Genomic DNA, 26,115 nt, shown 5'->3' with positions numbered 1-26,115 from the left:
CTCCTGAGGCCTCTGTCCTTGGCTTGCAGAGGACCACCTGCTCGCTGTGGCCTCATATGGCCTTTCCTCTATGCATGTAGATTCCTGGTGTCTCCTTCTCTTCTTCTTTCTTTTTTTTCCCTTGAGACAGGGTCTTGCTCTGTCACCCAGGCTGGAGTATAGTGGTGTGATGTCAGCTCACTGCAGCCTCTGAGCCCCCTGAGCTCAAGTGATCCTTCCACCTCAGCCTCCTGAATAGCTGGAACTACAGGCACACAACACCACGCCTGGCTATATACATATATTTTTTTCATATGTTTTATAGAGACAGGGTTTTGCCACGTTGCCCAGGCTAGTCTTGAACTCCTGGGCTCAAGTGATCCACCCGCTTTAGCCTCCCAAAGTGCTGAGATTACAGGTGTCAGCCACCACACCCAGTCTCTTTCTCTTCTTATACAGACACCCACCTTATGTCGTTAGGGCCTCACTTTTATGACCTGATTTAACCATAATTACTTACTTCCTATCTCCAAATACCGTCACATTGTGGGGTTAGGAATTTGACATATCAATTTTGGGGAGACATAGTTCAGTCCACAACAGGAGGAGAAAGAGAGGGGGCACTTTTCTTTATCTGCATGGAGCAACTTTTACCCAATCTGTCTGTTCGGCCTCCACCCATGACTTTGGGGATGAGGAAGGGCACTGTATTTAATGCTGTTTTAATCCACACAGCAGCCGTTAGAAAAAGTAGTATAAATCCCATTTTACAAATGAGGAAAATGAGGTTAGAGGGTGTGTTAATCCATTTTCACATTGCTATGAAGAAATACTGGAGACTGTGTAATTTATAAAGAAAAAGAGGCTTAATGGACTCACAGTTCCACATGGCTGGGGAGGCCTCACAATCATGGCAGAGGGTGAAGGAGGAGCAAAGTCACCTATTACATGGCGGCAGGCAACAGAGCATGTGCAGGGGAACTGCCCTTTATAAAACCATCAGATCTTGTGAGACTTATTCACTATCACAAGAACAGCACAGGAAAAACCCACCCCGATGATTCAGTTACCTTCCACCCGGTCCTTCCCACAACACATGGCAATTATGGGAGCTACAATTCAAGGTAAGATTTGGATGGGGACGTAGCCAAACCATATCAGAGGGCTTAAGTGACTTACCCTGGGTCACACAGCTAACAAATAGTAGAGATAGAATTCACACTCAGACACACTGCCCTGCCTGCTCTCCAAGGCTAGATCCACGAAATTTGTTTTGTCTGGTACCACGTGGACTTGACACTATAGGAAGGTTTTAATGGTAGAAGAAAAATGTCTGTAGAAGAGGAGGGAAAAGGAAGAAAAGGCTCTATGATCTGGAACTATTCAAATAAAAAAGATGGTGGAGCAATTGACCACAAGGCGCTAGAATGATGTGGCTGCTGAGGAAAGAAGGAAGGAAAGGGAAGAAAGCGAAAAAGTGAGACTGCATTATTCAAAGTCTAGTGCCCCGGCTGGGCATGGTGGCTCAAGCCTGTAATCCCAGCACTTTGGGAGGCCATGGCAGGTGGATCACATGAGGTCAGGAGTTCAAGACCAGCCTGGCCAACATGGTGAAACCCCGTCTCTACTAAAAATACGAAAAAATTCGCTGGTTGCGGTGGTGGATGCCTGTAATCCCAGCTCCTAGGGAGGCTGAGGCAGGAGAATCACTTGAACCTGGGAGGCAGAGGTTGCAGTGAGCTGAGATTGTGCCACTACACTCCAGCCTGGGTGACAGAGTAAGACCTTATCAAAAAAAAAAAAAAAAAAAAAAAACTCTATTGCCCCTGTAATTGTAGCTCATATTTATTGAGTACCTACATGTTGTCAGGGCTTTACATATATTAACTCATTTAATTCTCATAACCCTACATGGTAGGTACTATTATCCCTATTTTGTAGATGAGAGGAAACTCAGGCACAAAGACATATAAATTTCCCAAAGCGCACCAACTCTAAATGGCAGTGCTGGGCTATACAGACTTTACAGCACAGTGCCTCAAACTCTGCATTGCTCAAGGGGGCTTAATATGACCTGACATACTTCTGGGTTTTATCAGAGGGACTTCAAGAAATGTGAGCACTTCTACAGGGAGGTGGACTCAAGATAGTGATAAGATGAATAATATTTCTTGCGTACTGTCTATATGCAAAGCACTGTTTCACATGCTTTGTATATAGTAACTGCTTTAATCTTCACAACTATAGGAGATAGGTGCCATTATTATGCCCATTTTACAGATGAAGAGACTGAGGCAAGTCACAGAAAGAAAAAAGCCCAGTGAAATTCTTGTGTTTCTCCAGTAGAACAGCAGCGTTGAAGGAGCAACTTCCCTCCCACTTGACCTCTGAAGGGCTGCCCTAGGGGAAGAGAGAGGGACATGATGGCAGAGGTACCCATTGCTGGGGATACTTCTTGCTGGGGATTAGGGTCAGGATGCCCGCTCTGGGTCAGGGTTAGACTCAGTGACCCCTAAGGACCTTCTAGCTGTGAGACTCTGCCCACTGCTCTGGACAGAGGAGGAACTAGGGAAAGAAGTGAGACTAGGAAGAATCTTGATGCCAACTGTTTCCCCAGTGTCCAGTGAGCAAACTCCTGACTCCTAAAAGAGGAAGGAATAGACCATTCACTTTCTTTCATCTGCCTAGAACATGGGATCTTTTTTTAAAAAAATAGTTGGGTACATAGTAGGTGTATATATTTATGGGGTACATGAGGTGTTTTGATACAGGCATGTAATGTGAAATAAGCACATCATGGAGAATGGGGTATCCATCCCTTCAGGCACTAATCCTTTGAGTTACAAACAATCCAATTATACTTTTTAAGCTATTTAAAAATATACAATTAAGTTATTATGGACTATAGTCACCCTATTGTGCTGTCAAACAATAGGTCTTATTCATTCTTTCTAGCTATTTTTTTGTACCCATTAACCATCCCTATCCTCCCACTACCCTTCCCTGCTTCTGGTAACCACATGCTTCTACTATGTCCATGAGTTCAACTGTTTTGATTTTTAGATCTCACAAATAAGTAAGAACATGTGACGTTTGCTTCCTGTGCCTGGCTTATTTCATTTAATATAATGATTTCCAGTTCCATCCATGTTGTTGCAAATGACTGGATCTCATTCTTTTTTATGGCTGAATAGTACTCCATTTACATATATGTACCATATTTTCTTTATCCGTTCATCTGTTGATGGACACTTAGGTTGCTTCCAAATCTTAGCTATTGTAAACAGTGCTGCAAGAAAAACACAGGAGTGCAGATAGAACCTGGGATCTTTATTCATGTGGCGAAAATTTATGGTGGTGCCTGCTGGGTGCCTGACAGGGGCTGGAGATGAGTATTCTCCAATTCAGCTCAAGGAACCATTTGTTGAGCATCTACTATGGGCTGGGCTGAAACTTTGGTATCACATTTACTCCCCTCAAAATCATTTTACAAATGCAGAAACACACTCAGGCACAGGTATTATTATAAGAAACTTTTCCAAGGGTACCACCCGGTGAATGCCTGAACTGGTTAATTTCAAAGCCGTGGTCACCTAGCAGAACTTGTCCCCATTCTCCTGGGAGAGCCGGGAGCTGGTGGGGCTCCCCCCTGCCTCCCTCCCGAAGCCCTCCTGTTTTCACAGCTACCTCTCATCCCCTTCTCAGGAAGGCCCAGAGTGCTGGACCCCAGGCTAGGGTGGGCAAGGATGAGGAGTGGGGACAGAGGCTGGCATATGAGGCACGGGAGAGAGGTGGGGAATTACGGGACGCCGCTGCCAGGGCTGCAGTGGGAGGAGGGGTGTGTCCCCTACTTCGGAGGGGCGCTCGGGCTCTGTGGAGAGAGCGCCATGCGGGAGGCGGGCCCGGGGCGCCCTCGCTCGGCGGGCACAGGTGCGCGGGTGCCATGACGACTGCGCCTCACGAGCCCCCTCCTTCCCCTGGTCGGGAGGCGAGGGGCGGCGGGCGGCTGAGCCCTGCGGGCAGCAGCGCTGCGCGGGAGCCAGTCAGCCCGAGGGGAGGGAAACCGGCCAGGGCCCGGGGCCTGGGAGCGCACGCCCCCTGCTCACCTCTGCCCGGACCGACCGGACCTGCGGAGCGCGGAGGCAGGGGCGCAGCCCGCAACCAAGTGCCCGGAGACCGTCCCTCTGCCCGCTGGCCCGAAGGGGCCCGCTGCCTCCCGCCATCGGAGACCGCCGGAGCCCGCAACTGGGGGCATCATGGAGGGTGAGTGGTCCTGGGGCTGGGGGCCAGCCGTGGGGCAGGGTACCGACTCCGGGGCATGGGGCGAAGGGAGAGGAGAGGGCCGGGCAGCTGATCACCCATGGCTGTCCAGAGCCAGACGTTGTGACACTCTGTGTGTGACAGAGACAGAGACACTGAGTGAGGGAGAGAGACCTGGGGTGCCCATGTGTTCATGGTGTGTGTGTGTGTGCGTGTGTATGTGAGACAGAAAAACAGACAGACAGAAAGAGACAGATGGAGAGAAAGACCTGGGGGTGCTCTGTATTCATGTTGTGCCTGTGTGTGTGAAAGAGAGAGAGAGAGAGAGACAGAGACAGAGACATAGAGACAGACACTGAGAGAGGGAGACAGAGACAGGCAGAGAAACACTTGGGGGTGCCTCTGTATTCATGTTGTGCTTGTGTGTGTGTGTGAGAGAGAGAGAGAGAGTGAGAGAGAGAGAGAAAGACCTGGGGTGCCTCTGTATTTGTGTTGTACATATGTGTGTGCATGTACAAGACACACACACACACACACACAAAAAGAGAGAGTCCCTGTTGTGTGTGTGCACGCACACAATCCCTGCTGTCTGAGCAGAGAATCATTTGAGACCAGGTGAGGACAGCTTGGCTATTAGCTTCAGAAGAATTGTCACCGACTTTGTCTGCTTGAAGGGGTGGGGTTGTTGGGGAGATGGGATTCTAGAGGTGATATCCTCCATGTAGAGAGAATTTCTCTCCCTAAGGAAAGGAGAGTGAACTATGGACCTTACCTTCAGGATTTTAAGGGATAGCGGACCAAGGCATAAGGCTGCTTGCTCCCACTTTACCAGAACCCTCTCTCAGCCATTGTGGACAAGGGGAACCATATTTAGGCTAAGAAACTGGAAAACCAAGGGCTCGTCCACTGTCTTGCTGGGTGTCTTTGAGATAGTGCCTAAACCTTTCTGTGCCACTGGTCACCCATCTATCGAATGGGGGAACTTAACATTCAGCTGGCTTCAGAGAGTGTCTGTGAGGATAAAATAAGATATGTTGTACAACACGCCAGTATGAGGCAGCTGTGGCAAGAGGTAATAAAACCCCAAAATTCCAATTAGTAATTGCAAACACTGCTGTTAAAAAATAAAATCAAGTTTTATAGAAAATCTTGTGAGGCTGCACTTGTAGTTTTCCAATGAGCCAGGGTATGAAAAGCACACACACAAAAGAGGCAAGAAGGAATCAATAACCCAAGAGGAATCTGGAAGATTGGCAGATCTGTAAGAATGGCGTTAGCAAAGCCCTGAAGCTCCAGTGAACAGAAGTCGGGGGAAATTGGCAAAGACAAGAGCAAAAAGCTTTCAAAGTCTAAGAATAACAAGAAGGAATCTGCTCTGGCTTAGGCTCGAGGGCAGGCAGAGCAAGATACAGGCAATTTTACTTCAAATTGTGGAATAAAGAGGATAAGGAGGAAATAGAGACCCAAGATAGTCAAGCGATAGGAAGAAGACATCAAGTTACCTACAATGAGCTCACTCATTGAAGCCCAGACATATGACATCCCAGCGACCCAGAGGTATTTACAGATATAATCATTGCTTTTGAGGAAACTACAGAGAATGAAGGAAGTGCCAGAAAACTGAAGATGGGCAAATGTCCTGATTTTCAAAAAAGGGAAATATAAATTTTTTATCTAAAAAGCCTCTACACTGCTAAGATTAGTTTTGACCTCTATTAAAATTCCAGAAGAAATGACCAAACACAGTGTACACTTAGGAGACAACAACGCACTCCCTCAGCTCAGAATTTTTTCAAATTCTGAGCTGCACACTTGCAAAGATGTGTGCCTGAGCATGTTCATCACAGTGCAAAATTGGAAACCATCCAGATAGCCATAAATTATGTAAATTAAATAAAAAATGAGACACTTCTGCAATGGCATACTATGCAGACATTAAAAACTGTGCTTAGGATTTTCTTTATTGACATGGAAATATGTTCACTACCCACTGTGAGTAATTAGAAAAAAAAACAGGTTTTTGAATGCATGTGTAGTGTGATCCCCTTTATGCAAAATTACATAGGTTTATTATTGGAAATATACATATACAAGTGTATACGCAAAGAGGTAGTCACTAACATCTTTGTTTGATTCTCCTGCTTCTGAAAGCAGACCCTAAGACAAGAGCTTGGATATAGGGAGTCTATTTGGGAGATGATGCCGGGCAGTGGAAGTGAGGGAATGAGGAGAGTGAGATGAAGAAGGGAGAAAAGGCAAGAAATGGGTGCCTTAATGAGCTGGTTTTAGCTGTGGGCAACTGGGGGGTTCTATCCTGCTGGGGACACTCTGAGAAAAGTGCAGGGTGAACCCGAGGTTTACCCCACCTAAGAGGTGGCGTTGGCTGCTTCACCTCCCCACTGGTCTGGTATTGCCCCACTCCTGCAGTTTTGGGTTGTCCCTTTTTGTGACTTCAGAGGAAGCAGAGCAGAGAGACTCCCAGGTGCAGACCTGGTGGGGTGCTAAAAATTTGAGGAACCATTCACCCCAGCTGAAATCTTTGGGCCAATGGGATGTGGCAGGCAGAGAGCATCACAAACATAGGGGTTATCTCTGGATGTGAGGGTTCTGTCAGGTTTACTCTCTCTTTTGCGGTGCTCAGAATTCTTTGTTGTTGTTGTTGTTGTTGTTTGAGACGGAGTCTCGCCCTGTTGCCCAGGCTGGAGTGCAGTGGCGTGTTCTCGGCTCACTGCCACCTCTGTCTCCCAGGTTCAAGCAATTTTGTTGCCTCAACCTCCTGAGTAGCTGGGATTACAGGCATGTGCCATCATGCCTGGCTAATTTTTGTGTTTTTAGTAGAGACAGGGTTTCACCATGTTGGCCAGGCTGGTCTTGAACTCCTGACCTCGTGATCTGCCCGCCTCGGCCCTTCAAAGTGCTGGGATTACAGGTGTGAGCCACTACGCCCAGCCTAGAATTCTTTTATAATAAGCACAACAAAACAAAAAAGCGTTTTCAAAAAGAAAGAAAATAATGTATTGTTCATTAGGAGCCTATATTAGTACTCACTAAGAACAAATCCAGGAGCTCAAACAACTCAACAGCAAGAAAACAAAAAACCCAATTAAAACATGGTAAGAAATCTGAATAGACATTTCTCGAAAGAAGACATACAAATGGCTAACAGGTATATGAAAAAATGCCCAATATCACTGATGATTAGGAAAATGCAAGTTAAAACCGCAATGAGACATCATCTCATACCTGTCAGGATGGCTTTTACCAAAAAGACGAAAGATAAGTAAGTGTTGTTGGAGATGTGGAGAAAAGAGAACCCTTGTGTGGTGTTGGTGGGAATGTAATAAATTTGCACAGTCATTATGGAGAATAGTATGGAGGTTCCTCAAAAAGCTAAAAACGGAATTACCATATGATCCAGCAAGTTCATTTCTGGGTACTTACCCCAAAATCTGAAATGAGTTACTTGAAGAGATGTTTGCACCACCGTGTTTATTGCAGCGCTATCCACAATAGCCAGGCTATGGAATCAACTAAGTGTATATAAACCGATGAATGGATGAGGAACATGGGGTATGTAAACACAATGGAATACTATTCAGCCTTTAAAAAGACAGAATTGTGTCATTTAAAACATCATGGACAATATTGGAGAACATTATACTACGTAAAATAAGTCAAGCACAGAAAGACAAATACCACATGTTCTCACTTATATATTGAATCTAAAACTATAGAACTCATAGAACCAGAGAGTAGAGTGGCTCTGTGGTGGGGGAGAATGGAGTGATGGTGGTCAAAGAGTACAAAATTTCAGTTAGACAGAAGAAATGGTTTTCTTTTTTTGAATTCTATTGCACAGCATGGTGCATAGAGTTAATAATAGAGTATTGTACATTTCAAAATTGCCAAGAGGGCCATGTGCAGTGGCTCATGCCTGTAATCAGAGCACTTTGGGAGGCCAAAGCGGGAAGATCATTTGAGGTCATGAGTTCGAGACCAGCCTGGCCAACATGGTGAAACCCCATCTCTATTAAAAAATACAAAAATTAGCTGAGTGTGGTGGCACACACTTGTAATCCCAGCTACTCGGGAAGCTGAGGCAAGAGAATTGCTTAAGCCCAGGGGGTGGAGGTTGCAGTGAGCTGAGATTGTGCCACTGCACTCTGGCCTGGGCGACAGAGCAAGACTCCATCTTAAAAATAAATAAATAAATAAATAAAGATTGAGTTTGGGTGCAGTGGCTCACGCCTCTAATTCCAGCACTTTGGGAGGCTGAGGCAGGCGGATCACCTGAGGTCAGGAGTTTGGGACCAGCCTAGCCAACATGGTGAACCCCCATTCCTACTGAAAATACAAAAATTAGCCGGGTGTGGTGGTACACATCTGTAATCCCAGCTACTTGGGAGGCTGAAACATAAGAATCGTTTGAACCTGGGAGGCGGAGGTTGCAGTGAGCCAAGATCTCTGCACTCCAGCATGGGTGACAGAGCGAGACTCGGTCACACATACAAAAAAAGATTGAATCTTACTTAAAAAAAGCAAAAACAAAAACTAAATTTCAGATGTTTTCACCACAAAAAATGTTAAGTATTTGATGGATATGTTAACTGGCTTGATTTAATTACTCCACCTTGTATTCATAAATTATACCATCGCTTTTTATCCCAAAAATTTATATAATTATAAATTGTCAATTTGCAATAAAAAACTTAAAACTTATTTTAAATCTAAAAAAATATAAAAATCATGTCAATACCATTTGGAGCAACTGTTCATAAGACACAACTGGCTGGTAAATGTTTTTGTAACTCTATCCAGCTGTTAATTTTACATAGCTATTCACAGTGTGCACGTTTTACTAAATAATATTTCCAAAACAAACAAAAGAACAAATCAAGCTAAACCTACAGATTTCCTCTTCCAGAATGGGTTTCTGAGAGGAAAAATGATGAATACGAAAGTTCATCAGGACACTGCCAAGATCTCTCAGAAAAAACTCGTGAATTGATTGAGAGACGTAGGAGGGATACTGGAGGACCAACAATGGGGGCTTTATGAAAGGTTTGATAGCAGCCTAGGGGTCCCTAGAACTCCAACCCTGATATGACATTAATTAATAATTTAGGGGGAAAATAAAAGGCATGCTTATGAAATCTGTGGCTAGGAGCTGTAACACCCACAAGGCAATAAAGTCAAGATTTAAGGTTATCTCAACATACCAAAATGCTGGATTAAAACCAAGAAAATGAAAGGTACATGTAAGTGAAATGTAAAGTCCTGAATTTAGGTCTCAAAAAATTAATGGCTTACATTCAAGATGGGGGAGATCTGGCTTTTATTCTTCAGGAAAGTTACGGGGCAGGGTGGGGGGTGGGTAGGGGAGGTCCCAAAACACACTGACTATGAGATAGGTCTGGAGTCCCTCTTGCTGGATACCCTGGGACGTGGGGAGAGGGGGATGATTCTGGGGACAGGGGCTCACTCTTGTTCTGGCTCCTGGGAGCAGAATTGGGACTGGTGAGGGAAGGTTGCAGTAAGACAACTCAACTCAACCTCAGGAAGAACTTTCTATCACTCAGGGCTGGCCCAGCATCTGTCTCCTCACCAGTTCCCATATCCAGCTTGAGCAAGTGGAGGCTGACAGGTCTCATGACTGACTAGGGGACAGAAAAGATAATTATTGGGTGGCTGGATTAAAACAATGGCCTGGAGGGTTCTCTGAGGGCCCAGAAGTCTTCCCCAACATCTAGAGACAGACACTGCAGTCTGCCAAGCCCCCTGCAGAGTTGCTATGGTTAGCCGGGCAGTAACCCTCATTTGCCTTCCCCTCTGGGCCTTAACTGTGATGTTATGCTGTGGGACAAGTCAGCAGAAGGGCAGCAAATCAGATCTGCTCCCCAGCCTAACCCCAGCCCCACCCCAGCCCAACCCCAGCCTTTCTGGGAGCCCCCAGGGGCCTCCACAGCTGCCTACCCATCCCAGAAGCTCTGTGGCTGAGAGAGGCCCAAAGGCTGGGAGGATATACACCCGCACTGGCTGGAAGTGGGCACAGCTATGGGGAAGTGGCCATGTACGGAAGGGGGTCACTGGAGAGAAGAGGGGACAGGAGCATGCCAGCTGGTGTCCCTCCAGCACAGGACACAGTAGATCTTAGAGGTCCAGATGGATGCTGCTTCTCCATATGCTCCTTGGAAATGCTCCTGCCAGAGTCTCTGTGCCCTGTCCTTTTCCACAAAGCATATCATCATCCTGGGGCTGCCCACCAGCCTGGGAATTGAGCAGGGAGACAACAAGACCCCCATTTAATAGATGATAAAACTGAGGCCCAGGAGGCACAGATTGCCCTGGTTTGAACTGCAGCAGGTCTGCACAAATGGTCTAGATTCTGGGGACACTGTGGGGCTGCAGCCTCCATGAAGTCTAGCTTTCCAGCTTTGTCCTGAAGACCTTCCACGCCTTCCTGTCTTACTGGGAGGGAAGAATGGGAAGGGTCTCAGCTGCTGCTGGGGAGGCAGAGGCCAGATGGGTGTAGGCCTGGTTCTCATTGGGACCATGATCTGTCTGATGACAATCTGTCCTGCTTCCAGCAATGAGTTGAGGAGATATACTTACAATAAGTATTTCTACTACAATCATTGAGTGGCCCATTCTACTGTAAAAACTCTGGGCTGTTAGAGCCAGGCGGTCTATGTAAGCGGCTGCTCAACTCTGAGTTCACAAATGAAGCAACTGAAGCAACAGTGAGTGGAACTGACAACACAGCTAACTTCTATCAGATCCCCTTAAGACACAAACATAAAGAATTAGTCTACAATCCCAGCACTTTGGGAGGCTGAGTCAGGCGGATCACTTGAGGTCAGGAGTTTGAGACCAGCCTGGCCAACATGGTGAAACCCCGTCTCTACTAAAAATACAAAAATTAGCTGGGCTTGGTGGTAGACGTCTGTAATCCTGGCTACTCAGAGGCTGAGGAAGGAGCATTGCTTGAACCCGGGAGGTGAAGGTTGCAGTGAACCCAGATCGCGCCACTGCACTCCAGCTTGGGTGACAGAGTGAGACTTCATCTCCAAAAAAAAAAAAAAAAAAAAGATACAAACATAAAGAATTAAATTCGGTCTCTCATGCTCAAAAGCTTTTTGTAGCTCTCTCGTTAATAACTGAAATTGCATTATTAGAGCTTTCCTTTTTCTAATTTAATGTCTGACTCCTTTTGAAATGCAAAAGCCTAAAAGAGACACAGCGCTTTGTTATGAGTCATTTCCTCATCCATGTGAACAAGTTTATCAGAATATTTCCTAAAAGAAGATTCTGCTAGGGATGGGGAGAGAGAGAACGTTAAGTAACCTAGGACTCCAAGCAGTGATGCCTCGTTAGGAGGTAATGGATCTCAAAGGGGTTAGGTGTCCTCTTCTATTATTTCTCAGTTGAGCACAGAGTGACCCCGGTTCTGCCTTTGGCCACTGTATGCCTGGTTTTAGGCAAGGTTTTAGGTGATACATGCACTGTTCATAAAGTGTCAGCTTTGTAGCAGAAGCCTCAGGAAGGCAAAGTTCCTTCCAAATCAAGGATCCCTAATTGCTGCTAATGGACCCTAGAGGTCTTTATATGTGACCTGATGATACCCAAAGAGGATGAGAAAATGGATGGAGATGGCAGAGCCTAAGCAGGAGCTCAAACTCAGAACAGGCGTCCTGGCTTATTTGATGCACCCTGAATCCCAGAGCCCAGCAAAATCTGGAGGTCTACCACTACTGCATGCTGTATTCTTAGAGCAAGTCTCTTTTTGTCTTTGAGTTTTGATTTTCCTGTGAAATGAAGATAATTCTCCTTTCCTTGTCAGAGATAGCTTGATGTTGTACAAAACAAATTTCAAAAATAATGGAAATACTATCTAATAGCACCTATGGGATACAGCTAAAGCAGTGTGTCTAGGAGAATTCATAGCCTTTAGTACCTAACTTATCAACATACATTAATCATATTTATGTTCTAGGCCCTGTGCCAGATAATGAGGAGCATTTCAAGCTGAACAAGGCATGCTTTCTACCCCTAAGACATTTCTAGTTTAACTAAAAGAAAAAAAAAATCTCTACACTTAGCTGAAGCAGGACGTGAAATGTGGCCAGCACTGCAGGTAAACTGAACCTGCAGACCTTGAGGAAGCAGCCAGCCATTGAACCCGGAAAGGTGCTCCAGGGCATATGTTTAGCCTTTCCAAGAGAAAGAGAGAGGGAAATCCCTGCCTCCCCTTTACTTTCCCCTCCTCTCCCACCTTAAGCCTCTTCCACATCCACTCTCTAAGGCCTGGAATTCTTTTAAATAGACTGAGAGTACAGGCTCAGTATGTGATAAAGGCAGTTCAGTTTTCACTATGAGGTAAATGATTTGTATCAGAACCTTTTCTGAATACAATTTTTGATGGGTAAAACCGGAGACCTCCTGCAGGAAGTAAGGAGAAATAAAAAGGCCTCAGAGTAGAAGAGAAGTATAAAGAGGGGCTCGCTTGGGGGCTCCTGATGGCTGTATTAGCAACTCAGCCCTCAAATTCTTTGGCCTTTGCCAATCCAAATGATTCTTGGAAGGGCAACCTGCTCTCATTCACCAAAAAGAGGTCAGGCTTGCAGAATCCATGTTGCTGTGGTGGGTGCCTGGGATGGAGGGGCTTTGGTTCAGCCTGCAAGAGGAACAGTAGGAGGTTATAGTTCTCAAGAGGCCTCCTTCCTCCTAGATCCTCTGCCACATCCACTTTTTACTTTCCTAAGCAGTACTAAGAAAGCTTTTGCCAAGGCTTGCTTCCCTGGGAACAAACCCAAATGAACTGAAACCACACTGCGACCTACTGGTTCCCCACAGCTGCCTGGCAGATAGCTAATGCAGTCAATAAGCAGTCTGAAGTTCTGCAAGGCCCTTTGTAATTTACTCTGCTGTCTCTCTGAATGTATTAACAACTCCATGAGGTTGGGAGAGGCAGGAAGCCCAGGTCATCCACATTCGAAAGCCAAGGAGAACACAGGGATGAAGTAGATCTCCCCAGTTCTCTTTGGAATACCAAGAGGTGGCATGGGGGCTTAGGGTCTACTATCATCAGTCTCCCAGCCACCCCAAACTAACTATACCTCCCTTTAAAAATTGTACTAAAGCAGCTCTAAGACAAGTTCCCAAGCTTCTCCTCCAAACCAAGTTTCCCAGCCCCCAACCTCTCTCTCTCTCTCTTTTTTATTTTCAAGATGGAGTCTCGCTCTGTTGCCCAGGCTGGAGTGCTGTGGTGCGATCTCAGCTCATTGCAACCTCCACCTCCCGGGTTCAAGCAATTCTCCTGCCTCAGCCTCCCAAGTGGCTGGGATTACAGGCATGTGCCACCACGCCCGGCTAATTTTTTGTATTTTTAGTAGAGACAGGGTTTCACCATGTTGGCCGGGCTGGTCTCGAACTCCTGACCTTGTGATCTGCCTCCTTCCATCTCCCAAAGTGCTGGGATTATAGGTATGAGCCACTGTGCCCAGCCCCCAACCTCTGTTATATGCAGTCAGTGACCACCATGGGGCCAGCTCTCAAGGCCACGCTTTCTGATTCCCAGGTCAGTGTCCTTTCCTCTCTGCATTAGCACAGTCTCCGTGGAAGATTACATGGCCTGTTAAGAGACAGCGTGTGGGATGGTGTTGGGGAGGGAGGTGGGCACAAACATCTAATCTAGGGAACAGGAAACTTGGGGGTCTATGGTGCTACCCCTGCCCATCTCTAACACTTTCTCTGACCCTGGGATTCTGAACCTGGACTCTGCAGACTCCCAGGAGGTCCATGGATGACTAACTTGAATCCCCTTGTATTCACCAAGACACTAGGGTTATAAGCAACAGAAACGAGTGCTGGCCAACCTAACCAACACTGGGAATCCATTGGAAGGGTGTGGGGAGGTCATCCAATGGAAGGAAAAGCTGTGTTATGAAGACTCAGAGGCAAATCCAAAGCAGAAGAGGTCTGATTGGCATCCTCTGGCCAGCGGTTGGTGCAGACACCTGATGGACGGTCCCTCAAAAGCTCCATGTGAGGAGGAGGCTGACTCCCCAGGGGAAAAATCAGTACTCGAGAAAGAAGGGCTCATGGATGCAGGGTGAGCCCAAAACCTGATGCCCAACACTGCCTTGAAAGTGTGTGCCAAAATCCAGGGCTCTTTTTGGGAGCGGATCCAATGCTTTTGGAGACCATAAATTCCTCCAGACAGGAACCATTGATTGGCATAACAAAAGGAAGCCCTAGGAAAGCATCTGTGAAGGAACCAAAATGCATCAGAGTCTTAAAGAATTTGATGACCCCCAAAATGTTAAGCCACACTAAACTTGACTGTGAGTGGCGGGAGGGCAGGGGCTGTATGGTTCAGTGGTTCTCAAATCCGGCTACACATGGAAATCACCAGGGGAGTTTTTTGAAAAATACCAGTGCCTGAACAACCCCATCCCCTGCCCATCATCCATCCTTCCCTACCACCCTGTAGAGATTCTGATCCAGTTGGAAGGGGCAGGAGCTGTATTGTTAAAAGCCAGGTGATTTTGATATGAGTCAGGGCCAAGAACCAGTGACATCATCAGTATTTTATCACACGTATCAGTTTCCTTCTGATTAGAAAGGTTAAATGCAAGCTAGAAAAACCGAAAATAAAAATCACTTGAGGAAACACCACCCCTTGTGGACAAACATTGTTATTTTTTCTGTTCACCTACAGTTCACATAAACGCACACTTTTTATACAGAGTACAGACTTATAATGCATGTACATACTATTTTGTAACCATTACCATGTCCCATGGTCAATACTTTCCCTCTCATCCTGAGACCTCACTCTGTTCCTTAGGGTAAACCGTGAGAACTGGAATGGCTGGATCTGGGGGCGGGTCCCTCACTAGGGCTCTGGACAGATGTGCCTCGACTGCGAAGAGCTGATTTGTTGTCCCCTCACCCTGCACCCCTCCCTACAGGGCACATCCATGCTCTGGCCCTTATTGAATAATTCAGTCATTGCCGATCTGTTTGACGAAAAGTTTAACCGAACAATCCAAGCAAAAATCTGTTTGATGAAAAGGTTAACCCAACAATCAAAGCAAAATTGCATTGCTTAGATTACAAATGAACTTGAACTTTTTGTTTCGTGTAGTTAACAGCCATCAGTCCTGTTCATGCTGCATGTACTCGGCAGCCCTGTGTTGTGTTCTTCAGCGGGTCCAGCGTCTCTGCATCCAGGCCTGGGTTCACTGGCAGCCTCTCAGGAAGAGGTGGGGCACCCACGTGTTCCCAGGATCAGCAAGCAAATGGTAACAAGGATGAAGCCATCAGTGGGAGGCCTGTGAACTCAGGGAAACACCCAGACTGATTCTGGGTTAAGCTCATTCATTTAGGGATTGTTTTCTTTCTATTATTTTCTTTCTTCTTTCTTCTTTCTTTCTTTCTTTCTTTCTTTCTTTCTTTCCTTTCTTTCTTTCTTTCTTTCCTCCCTCCCTCCCTTCTTTCTTTCTTTCTCTCTCTCTCTCTCCCTTTCTCTTTATTTCTTTCTTTCTCTTTTTTGAGGCAGAGTCTCGCTCTGTCGCCCAGGCTGGCATGCGGTGGCACGATCTCAGCTCATTGCAACCTCCACCTCCTGGGTTCAGGCGACTCTCCTGCCTCAGCCTCCTGAGTAGTTGGGACTACAGGGGCCCACCACCACGCCTGGCTAATTTTTGTATTTTTAGTAGAGATGGGGTTTCATCATGTTGATCAGGCTGGTCTTGAACTCCTGACCTCAGGTGATCTGCTTGCTTTGGCCTCCCAAAGTGCTGGGATTACAGGTGTGAGCCACCGCGCCCTGCCAGGGATTTTTTTCTCATTCGCACTTCTTTCAGTTTGTATTATAAAAAATTATGCTCACATCCATTGTGTGGCTCAGAACTATCAGCCCCGCTGCTGCTGCCTCACACAGAGTGCCATGTGTACGATGTGCTCTTAGTTCTCACATGTCGTCTCATCGAAGCCTCAGCACAGCCCTTCTTTGGCAGGTGTTCATTTATCTCCATTTTACCAATAAGGAGTCTGGCTTCCAGGGAGATGACATGACCTACCCTAGGTCACACCCAGAAAATGTCTGTTTTTCTGTTTTATTTTCTATTTTTTAATTATTTTTTATTTTTTATTTGAGAAAGAGTCTTGATCTGTCAGCCAGGCTAGAGTGCAGTGGTGTAATCATAGCTCACTGCAGCCTTGACTTCTCAGGCTCAAGCGATCCTCCCACCTCAACCTCCAGAGTAGCTGGGACTACAGGCACGCACCACCACATCTGGCTAATTTTTTAATTTTTTGTAGAAACAGGGTTTCACTCTGTTGCTCAGGCTGGTCTCAAACCCCTGAGCTCAAGTGATCCTCCCACCTTGGCCTCCCAAAGTACTGTGACTACAGGGGTGAGCCATGGCACCTGGCCTCTGTTTCTATTTTAAATATGAGAATGCTGAGTTTGCACAGAGGTAAGGAGGCAGGAAGAAGGGCTGGGACTTCCCAGACTGTGTGTATCCACTCGAGGTGTCTTTAGTTCAAGGCTTTTAATTCTGTGGTTCTCAAACCACAGTGTGCGTTGGAATCATCTGAAGGATGCTTCAAAATGTAAAACAGAGATAGCTAGGCCCCAGTCCCAAGGGTTTCTGGTTCCCAAGGCCAGGGTTGTGGCCCAAGAATTTCTGTTTCCAATGAGTTCCAGGTGATGCTGACACTGCTGGTCGGGACCCCTCTTTGAGAACTATACACCCTGATCTCTCTTGGGTACCCTGGAGACAACCATTATTACACCCTGAGATGGGGAAGCTCCTCCAGTAGAGGAATGGCTTCACCGGGTTCAAGGATGAAAATTTCACAGGCTGTAATTACAAGGGCACCTGGCAGATCCCAGGAAGGACAAATCCAAGGTGTCAATGAGGTCTCTGGCTGCTAGCATGCAGCCCAGATGGGGTGGGAGGCCTGCCTGCCTCCAGTCCAGTGGAATTGCCAGGAATGGGAAGGAGTTTTTCCTCCTCCAGAAAGGATTCATGTGCAGTGCTGGAATCTGGGCCCTGTCTAGAAATGATGCCCAGGCTCTGCTGAGGCTCTAGCAATGGGCAGGGTCACTCCCAGATACTTCTCAGGACAGACTTCGGAAGATGAGCTTACTTGAGGGCCAAGTGAAGGATAGTGGGGGAAATGGACTGGAGTCTAGCCTGAAAGGTTCTGGCAGTTTCCTCTGCCCATCCATACCCACAGATCCCCCCAGTCATGGGAGATGATTCAGAGCTAATTTTGAGGCTCGGCAGGGGTAAGCAAGTCTCCCAACAGGTGCTGGGATGAGTGATGCCTCTCATGGGGGTTCTTTCTGGAGGGGCCTGGAGAAGGCCTTCCAACATCAGCACTGCCTGCCTGCAGCAGGACCCTCTCACCTGATATAAGGATCCACCTTCCTTTCTTTTTTTCCTTCCTACAGATATTTATTTATTCCATAATTATTAGCTGTTTATTGAACCATTTACTTTGGGCAGGCACTGACAAGATGCTGAGGACACTGCCACCAACAAGACAGGGAAGATCCTTGCTTTGCAGGTGCTGTCAAGCATGGGGAAAAAGACAATCAACCTAGAAACACACAAACTATTGACAGATTGATGAACATAAACCAGATGCTATGGGAAGACAACATTTATGCTGAGAGCTAAAGGAAGGGACGAGCAAAGGCCCTGGGGTTGGAAGAAGCAGGAGTGCGTGAGGAGCTAAGCAGATGGCAAAGTGACCAGAGCATAATGGGCAAAGGGGAGAGTGGCACTGGGTGAGGTCAGAGAGATGTCAACAGGGATCAGACCATGAAGTGTTTTGGAGGCCTTGGTAAGGAGCGTGGATTGTATTTAAAATGCAATGAGGGTTGGGAGGCTGAGGCAGGTGGATCACCTGTGGTCAGGAGTTTGAGACTAGCCTGGCCAACATGGTGAAACACTGTCTCTATTAAAAATACAAAATTAGCTGGGTGTGGTGGCATGCACCTGTAATCCCAGCTACTCAGGAGGCTACGGCAGGAGAATCACTTGAACCCAGGAGGCAGAGGTTGCAGTGAGCCAAGATCGAAGCCATTGCACTCCAGTCTGGGCAACAGATCAAGACTCCGTCTCAAAAAAAAAAAAAATGCAGTGGGGAGTCTAGGCAATAATCCTTAGTGTCTGCTGAAAATATTATGTTAAAAGCTGATGGCACAGTGGCTCATGCCTGTAATCTCAGCACTTTGGGAGGCCAAGACAGGAGGATTGCTTGAGCTTAAGAGTTCAAGACCAGCCTGGGCAACGTAGTGAGACCTCATCTCTACAAAATAACCTTAAATTAACCCAGCTTGGTGGCGCACGGCTGTAGTCCCGGCTACTCAGGAGGCCGAGGCGGGAGGATTGCTTGAGCCCAGGAGGCAGAGGTACATCACCTGAGCCCCCTGATTGAGCCAGCACCACAAAGAGAAAGGCCACTGGACAAAATCTGATCAAGACTCTAGATCTGACTGCCAAGTACAGGTAATACAGGGAACAGAGAGCAGAACATGTAAAATGACATCATGAGGGAGCAATCAGAAAAATCCAGCCTGCAGAAGTGCTACAGACCAACCACTCAGTCCATATGACAAACATACTGCAGAAGGGAAAAGAGACAGACTGGGGACCTGTGAACTAAAAGAGACTTCAGCATCACGTCTACCAAATGCAATATGGGGATGGTGGTAGACTTTATCATAATGGACCTTAATGAATCACACTTCCATGTCCACACCTCTTCTGCAATGCTATATTGCTTTTCTTCCTATCAACAGGAGAAACTATTTATCCACTGACTTGAACCTGGGCATCCCTTGTGACTTACTTGGGCCAATAAAATGTGACAGACGTGATGTGAAAATTCCAGAGTCTCGGACTTAAGAAGTTGTAGCTTCTTTTCTTGCTCTCTTGGAACCCTGAGACCACTGTTCTCTGAAGAAGCCCACACTAGCTTCCTGGAGGATGAGAGGCTGAGTGGAGAACTGAGACATCCCAGCCAATGGCCAGCACTAATCACCAGCCATGTGAGGGACACCTTGGACCTCCCAGCCCCAGCTGAGCCAGCAGATAACTACAGCAGCTGCACGAGAGTCCCAAGAGAGACCAGGAGAAGAACTACTCAGATTGCCAAGCCACAGTGCTGTACCATTAAATTTTGGGGTGGTTCACAACATAATAATAGGTAATAGAAACAGAAATCTTGCTCCGATCCACACTCAAACAAACCAACTATTTAAAAAATTATGAAACAATCAGGAAATTTTGCTGGATGCTGGCTATTTAATGATATAATTACATAATTGTTAATTTTGTTAGGTTTGATAATGATGGAAACCACATTTTTTCATGTTGTTTTTTTGAGTCCTTATTTTTTAAAGGTACAAACTGAAACATTTATGGATGAAAGGAAGTAATGTCTGGTATTTACTTCAAAATAATCCAAAGAGAAGTGGGGATATGGATGAAACAACTCCAGGCCTCGAGTTGATAACTGTTGAAAGCAGATGATGTATACATGGGGGTTCTTTATATGATCCCTCTAATAACAGCTCATTAAACTTTATACTCTTGTATATGTTTATTACAATATTCTCTCTTCTACATGTTTGACATTTACCATATTAAAATAAAGATGTTTGAGTACAGTTGGAAGTCCTTGGAAGGCCTAAACCTGGGAGTATCATCTCTCATCGGGCACAGGAAGTTTGCAGGTTGTCCGCCTCCCGCCGCAGTCCCTCTGCCCCATCCCAACACTCACCGCAGTGCCCCCTGCTGGTCCCTGCAGCCCTGATGATGCCAGCTCGCTGGCCCTGCTCCTCTGAGGGTCTCTAACCTCCAGGCCCCCAGCCTCCATTGAGCCTCCAGGCCAGTGGCTGAGTTCTCGGTGTGACAGAAAGATTCCACAGGGACTCTTCATCCCCTGGAATAGGCCTCAGGAGGAAAGTTTATGACACAACATCATGAGTCACCCCAACTAATGACTTCCCAGAAGAGCTGTGGTTGGACACTGAGCCTTCCCTTCGAAGCAAGCCTGGGGAAACACACACCAAAGCCTGGTCCTAATTCACAGACACACAGAGCAGGGCCAGCTGTGCTGCAGCATCATTGGAGGACCTTGAGCAAGTCATGGAACCTTTCTGACCTCCATTTCAAATGAAGCTAACACCTTAGGGTAATTCAATGAGGGTTTAAAAAAAATACAAAAGAAAACAAATGAGGCTAATACCTAATGACTTACATCATGGGATGGCTCGGAGAGCTAAATAAAATAATAGATGTGGAAGTGTTATGTTAAATGCTATGCAGGCAGAACAGCTGATCATGGGATGGGAGGAGGCAAAGGTTGAGCAGGAGCCCCTGCTTTGGATGTTCTGCTGAATGTGATGTGCCTCTTCTCCTTAGCCCTGGTTCACAGTTCCCCTTCATTCTCCCTTTCTCTACTGCCTTCTTGCCTTTCTCAACTAAAGTTCCATGGAGGAGATGAAGGGGAACGACATCAAAGAGTTTGAGGGTATAATAATTGGGTCCCAGCAGAAAACAAATGGTGCACTCAGAAAGGGTTTAACTGAACAGAGTTTAATGGAAGAAGAGAGGGTTAAGAGAACCAGCCAGAAACGGTGAAGCACCCAGGGACTCACAACCACAGGAAGCTGTTACCATTGAGTGCAAGGAGAGGGAAGAGTGTTACTGTAGTCAGGTGAGGGCTAGAGCCATGAAAGGGGACTCACCCAATAGGAGCAGGCTGTGGCTATAGGGAAAAACAGCTGCTGAAAGAATTGGGCCAGGCAGGAAGGGAATCAGAAGACAAACACCCTGACCTCTCTCTCTGCTCCTGCCCTCCCATCTCCTTCAGGGCCTGGCATTGGCTGAACCCAGCTAGAAGCCAGAAGACAAGGGAACCAGGGCAATGCAGAACTTAGAGGTTAGCCTCTGGGGCACACAGGAGGGCCAAGAAAGTTGGAACCTAAATGGGATGGGGGAGTTAATAAAGAAAAACCAACATTGGAGAATGAGTTATGGGCAAGACAGGGCATGAAGTACAAGACCAGGGTTTGAGTGGTTGTAGGCTGAAAGTCTTGGATCAGTGCATCAAGTTGCAACTGGAGCTGGGGACATGCTTGGGGGACCAGGGCATGGTTAAGGTTTGGCACACAGAGGGTCTCATTAGTGGTGAGAAATCGGTAATCTCTTCTTTGCCTAAGGTCCTGACCAATATATTCCTTTGGTCCTAGGGGAGCCCTCCCAGCCTCCCAACAGCAGTTGGCCCCTAAGTCAGAATGGGACTAACACTGAGGCCACCCCGGCTACAAACCTCACCTTCTCCTCCTACTATCAGCACACCTCCCCTGTGGCGGCCATGTTCATTGTGGCCTATGCGCTCATCTTCCTGCTCTGCATGGTGGGCAACACCCTGGTCTGTTTCATCGTGCTCAAGAACCGGCACATGCATACTGTCACCAACATGTTCATCCTCAACCTGGCTGTCAGTGACCTGCTGGTGGGCATCTTCTGCATGCCCACCACCCTTGTGGACAACCTCATCACTGGTGAGTGCGGGCAGTTGGCAGCAGGAGTGTCCCCTACCCCCCACTTCAACTTCTCAGATAAGGCTGGAAATCAAAGCTTAGAAGACAGATATCATTGCTGGGCTGGCCTCTTGGCCATGCCGTGGTCTCGAACTCTCAAGACAGTCTTGGGGCTGAAGAGTTAGACTAGAAATAAGAGATTTAATGAATTTCCTGTTTTCTTTGTGCCTGGCATGATGTTACTTCTCATGCATTATCTTAATTCATCCTCACAACAATCCAGTGAAGTAGAGTTTATGGTCCTCCCCATTTTATGGAAGAGGAAACATGCTCGGAGTGGTTAAGAAACTGGTCTGTAGTTACACAGCTAATAGGTGTCAAGGTCAACATTCTCACACCCATACTTCTAATTATTGTATTATACCATTCAGTCCCACTCTCTCACGGAGCTCGCATGGGCAGAATTAGAGCCAGTGGGGAGAAGTGGAAGGGAGGCAGGTTTCCTCTGAATCGGGAACGAAAACTCCACTCATTTGAGCTGGAAATTGAGCAGGGCACAGAAGAGAGTCCTGCCTGTAAGTAATGAGCTCTCTGTCCCTTGGAGTGTCTAAGCAGGGACTGGCCGGCCACTCAGTGGACCACTTGACCTCTAAATTCCTGCCGGTGCATCCTGCAGATGTCAGAACAGTGCCATCTACTCTCTACTCTCTCATGCGACTGGCCTTTCTTGTTTTAGAATCAAGTTTCCACCAACCTGAGACTCCAGGTGAGGGACTGGTTTTCAGAGATATGGAGACCCCTAGAGGTCTGAGCCTGCAGATTCTGAGCTCAGAGCTCCCAGCAGCTCACTGGTCCTCAGGATCCAGAGCCTGGACAGCCCTATTCAGAGTGACTTCACTGACTCGGGGCAGAGGGAGCCACAGCCCACGTTTCTGTAGGTTCTAGGACCCAGGATGTGGAGCCAGTGCAGAGTCAGCTCCCCTCCACAGTACCAGCTCTGTCTGGTGGAACCGTTACCCACTGCTGAGTCCCAGCTTCCTTTGCCAATGCTGAACATAAACTGCATTCCTCTCCTTTCCAACACATAGACACACACACGTGTACTCAGGCACACATGTGCAGAGATGCACACATGCATACACATAAATACATGCATACCAGTCAACAGTGATATAATGAGGTCACTAGCTGGTTAAGGTGGCGTCTCCCCATCTTTTTCATACACTCATATTTAAAATATTGTTTGAATACATAAAACATTCAGATGATTCAATAGTCAAAAACTACCAAAATTCTCCAGTGAAAAATCTCCCTTCCGCCCCTGTCCTCTGGCCTCCCAGCTCTTCTCCCTCCTGGGAGGCAACCAGTGTTGCCAGTTTCTTGTGTCTCTTTCAAACACTATTTTATGCGAGTGCAAGCAAATTGAGGACATGCTAAGGTTCCAAACAGCCAGTCCCGTACTTTTACTTCCCACCACACCCCACTTAAAAATATACCATGTATGCTGTAAAAAAGATTCATTAAAATAAACTTACATGTTGTTATCCCATATTAATAAATAAAAGAGTTTCTCACTATTTTCACCAACTGCTTAGAATTCCATTGTATGGATGTACTACAATTTATTTTGATTTGTATTTATGTTGTTTCTAATAGAATCTTCTGCAATTAAATAAAACTTCACACAGCTTCACTATTTTTTCTTTCTTTTTTTTTTTTTTTTTTTTTTTTGGAGTCTCACTGTCACCCGGGCTGGAATGCAGTGCTGGGATCTCGGCTCACTGCAACCTCCGCCTCCCAGGTTGAAGTGATTCTCCTGCCTCAGCCTCCCGAGTGGCTAGGATTACAGGCTTCTGCCACCACACCCAGCTAATTTTTGTATTTTTAGTAGAGATGGGGTTTCACCATGTTAGCCAGTCTGGTTTTGAACTCTTGATCTCAAGTGACCTGCCTGCCTCGGCCTCCCAAAGTGCTGGGATTACAGGCATGAACCACCACACCGGCCTCTTTTTTTTGAGACAGTCTCACTCTGTCATCCAGGCTGGAGCGCAGTGCACGATCATGGCTTACTGCAGTCTCAACCTGCCTGGGCCCAGGTCCTGGGACTACAGGCATGTGCCACCACCAATGGCTAATTTTTCTATTTTTTGTAGAGATGGAGTTTTGTCATGTTACCCAGGCTTGTCTCAAACTCCTGGGTTCAAGCCATCTGCCCGCCTCAGCCTCCCAAAGTGCTGGGATTACAGGAGTGAGGCACCATGCCCAGCTTTTTCTTCCTTTCTTTCTTTTTGTTTTGTTTTGTGTTGGTTTTGTTTTTTTTTTAACTCACATACAGAAGGTTGAATCATTCATTCAGTTTACAGTTCATGGCACTATGTGATTTCACTCTGTTGCAAAGCTCTTCTTTTGTTTATTTGTTTCCTTCTATATACCTATTCCACTCTACATCTCTTCTCTGACCCATAGGCAGCCATTCTGTTATATTTCTGTCTTTTGTATGCATTCTCAGAAAATGTGCTGTGAATGGCCGGGCGCGGTGGCTCATGCCTGTAATCCCAGCACTTTGGGAGGCCAAGGCGGGTGGATGACAAGGTCAGGAGATCGAGACCATCCTGGCTAAAATGGTGAAACCCCATCTCTACTAAAAAATACAAAAAATTAGCCGGGCGTGGTCGTGGGTGCCTGTAGTCCCAGCTACTCGGGAGGGTGAGGCAGGAGAATGGCGTGAACCCAGGAGGCAGAGCTTGCAATGAGCGAGATCACGCCACTGCACTCCAGCCTGGGTGAAAAAAGAAAATATGCTGTGAATGTGTGCATGTTTTACATTTAAATATTTTTGTTAATATATAATTTAACATACATTAAAATCTGCCTTTTTAAGTGTATAGTTCCACAGGGGCTTTTTTGTTGTTGTTGTTGTTGCTTTTTAAAAAGACACGGTCTTGCTCTGTCACCAAGGCTGGAGTGCGGTGGTGAGATCATAGCTCACTGTGACCTCAAACTCCTGGCCTCAAGAGATCTTCCCACCTCAGCCTCCCCAGTAGCTGGGACTACAGAAATGCGCCACCATGTATGGCTAATTTTATTTTTAATTTTTGTTTTTGTAGAGTCAGAGTCTCACTATATTACCCAGGCTGGTCTTGAATTCCTGGGCTCAAGCGATCCTCCTGCTTCTTCCTCCCAAAGTGCTGGGATTACTACACCTGGCTGAGAATAGTATTTAGAAGCCAAGATCTGGGTTCTAGGTGTGCTCATGGGTATTGGGGTGTCATTTCTTCTAGGTGCTCTCAAGGGACAGAGCTAGGAAATATACGTATACTAACAGAAATATTTAACACACATATCTTTATTTCTATATCTGTCCATCTGTATGTGTATTAACATGAGTTCAGACTGATACCTCTGATTCTAACCCACTGTCACAGATTCATTTTAACTTGACCCTCTTCCTTAATGGTAACTTCATTTTCAGACAGTGAGAAATCTAGCTGTATTTATCTACAACATATTTACTTATTTGTTCAATCTTAGTATACACATAAGGTAGTTTCATTATTGCTAACATACTTCTGTGATTTGGGTTTGCCTGATATTTTCCCATAATTAAATCCAGTTTATTCAGTTTTGTCAAGAATATACAAGTTTAGTAATGACAGTACAGAATTTGTATACAGTTCTTTTTGCTGTTATAGTATACAGTCAAAATACTGTTTTGCAAAGTTACTCCAGTTCGTGTGTTCCTTCTTCACCCCTTCAGTGTAAATATTATTCAATTTAAATACAATATTATTCATTTGTAATATAATTAGACTTATTTGTTAATGTTTGTATTTTACTTTGGGTCCCCCCTCCCCAACCATATCCTGATAGATGTTAATTATTTATCTTGAGTAAGTGATTCATTGCCATGATTCTAAAAAGTCAGAACCATACAAAGATATACTCAGAGAGGCATCACTCTCATTATCTCACCTATCCCATTCATCCATTATTTCTACCCAGTTCTTATCTTCTCTCTGTATGGATAGCTAATCTCATTATTCTGATTTATCTTTTCTGTATTTCTTTGGTACAATGAGAAAATAACCATATATTTTCTTAATCTCTTTTTTCTCACATGAAGGGTAATATAGTACAGATAGTCTTTATACTTTGCTTTTTGCAAACCACATGCCTGTGGTTCCAGCTGCTCAGGAGGCTGAGGCAGGAGAATGGTTTGAGCCAGGAAGTTGAGGCTGCAGTGAGCCATGATCACACCATTGTACTCCAGCCTCAGTGACAGAGCGAGACCCTATCTCAAA

At 46.1% G+C, this 26,115-nt stretch overlaps 1 protein-coding gene across 1 annotated transcript in view, besides 3 other annotated features; it reads left to right on the top strand.

Moving 5' to 3' along the window:
* Nucleotides 1-3,907: 3,907 nt before the first annotated feature.
* The window catches only part of NPFFR1 (neuropeptide FF receptor 1), a 36,676-nt gene continuing 14,468 nt past the window's right edge, over nucleotides 3,908-26,115 (top strand). The window contains exons 1-2 of the mRNA NM_022146.5: nucleotides 3,908-4,242; nucleotides 21,521-21,835. Of these exons, the coding sequence (NP_071429.1) occupies nucleotides 4,236-4,242; nucleotides 21,521-21,835 (322 nt within the window). The 5' untranslated portion in view covers nucleotides 3,908-4,235. The remainder of the gene's footprint in view (nucleotides 4,243-21,520; nucleotides 21,836-26,115) is intronic.
* Nucleotides 4,200-4,701: an enhancer, noted in NCBI's record as "H3K4me1 hESC enhancer chr10:72042967-72043468 (GRCh37/hg19 assembly coordinates)". NCBI's record gives its function as "activates a minimal SCP1, AML or CMV promoter by ChIP-STARR-seq in naive H9 embryonic stem cells {active_cell/tissue: H9 hESC(naive)}" and the evidence as "EXISTENCE:reporter gene assay evidence [ECO:0000049][PMID:30033119]".
* Nucleotides 14,678-14,777: an enhancer, noted in NCBI's record as "active region_3499". NCBI's record gives its function as "activates an Ori minimal core promoter by ATAC-STARR-seq in GM12878 lymphoblastoid cells {active_cell/tissue: GM12878}" and the evidence as "EXISTENCE:reporter gene assay evidence [ECO:0000049][PMID:35858748]".
* Nucleotides 22,525-22,819: a silencer, noted in NCBI's record as "tiled region #3619; HepG2 Repressive DNase matched - State 12:CtcfO". NCBI's record gives its function as "represses a minimal TATA promoter and a strong SV40 promoter by Sharpr-MPRA in HepG2 cells {active_cell/tissue: HepG2}" and the evidence as "EXISTENCE:reporter gene assay evidence [ECO:0000049][PMID:27701403]".

Source organism: Homo sapiens, chromosome 10 (assembly GCF_000001405.40).
Source record: "Homo sapiens chromosome 10, GRCh38.p14 Primary Assembly".
Taxonomy (NCBI): domain Eukaryota; kingdom Metazoa; phylum Chordata; class Mammalia; order Primates; family Hominidae; genus Homo; species Homo sapiens.
This window is presented reverse-complemented; position numbering and strand designations above follow the sequence as displayed.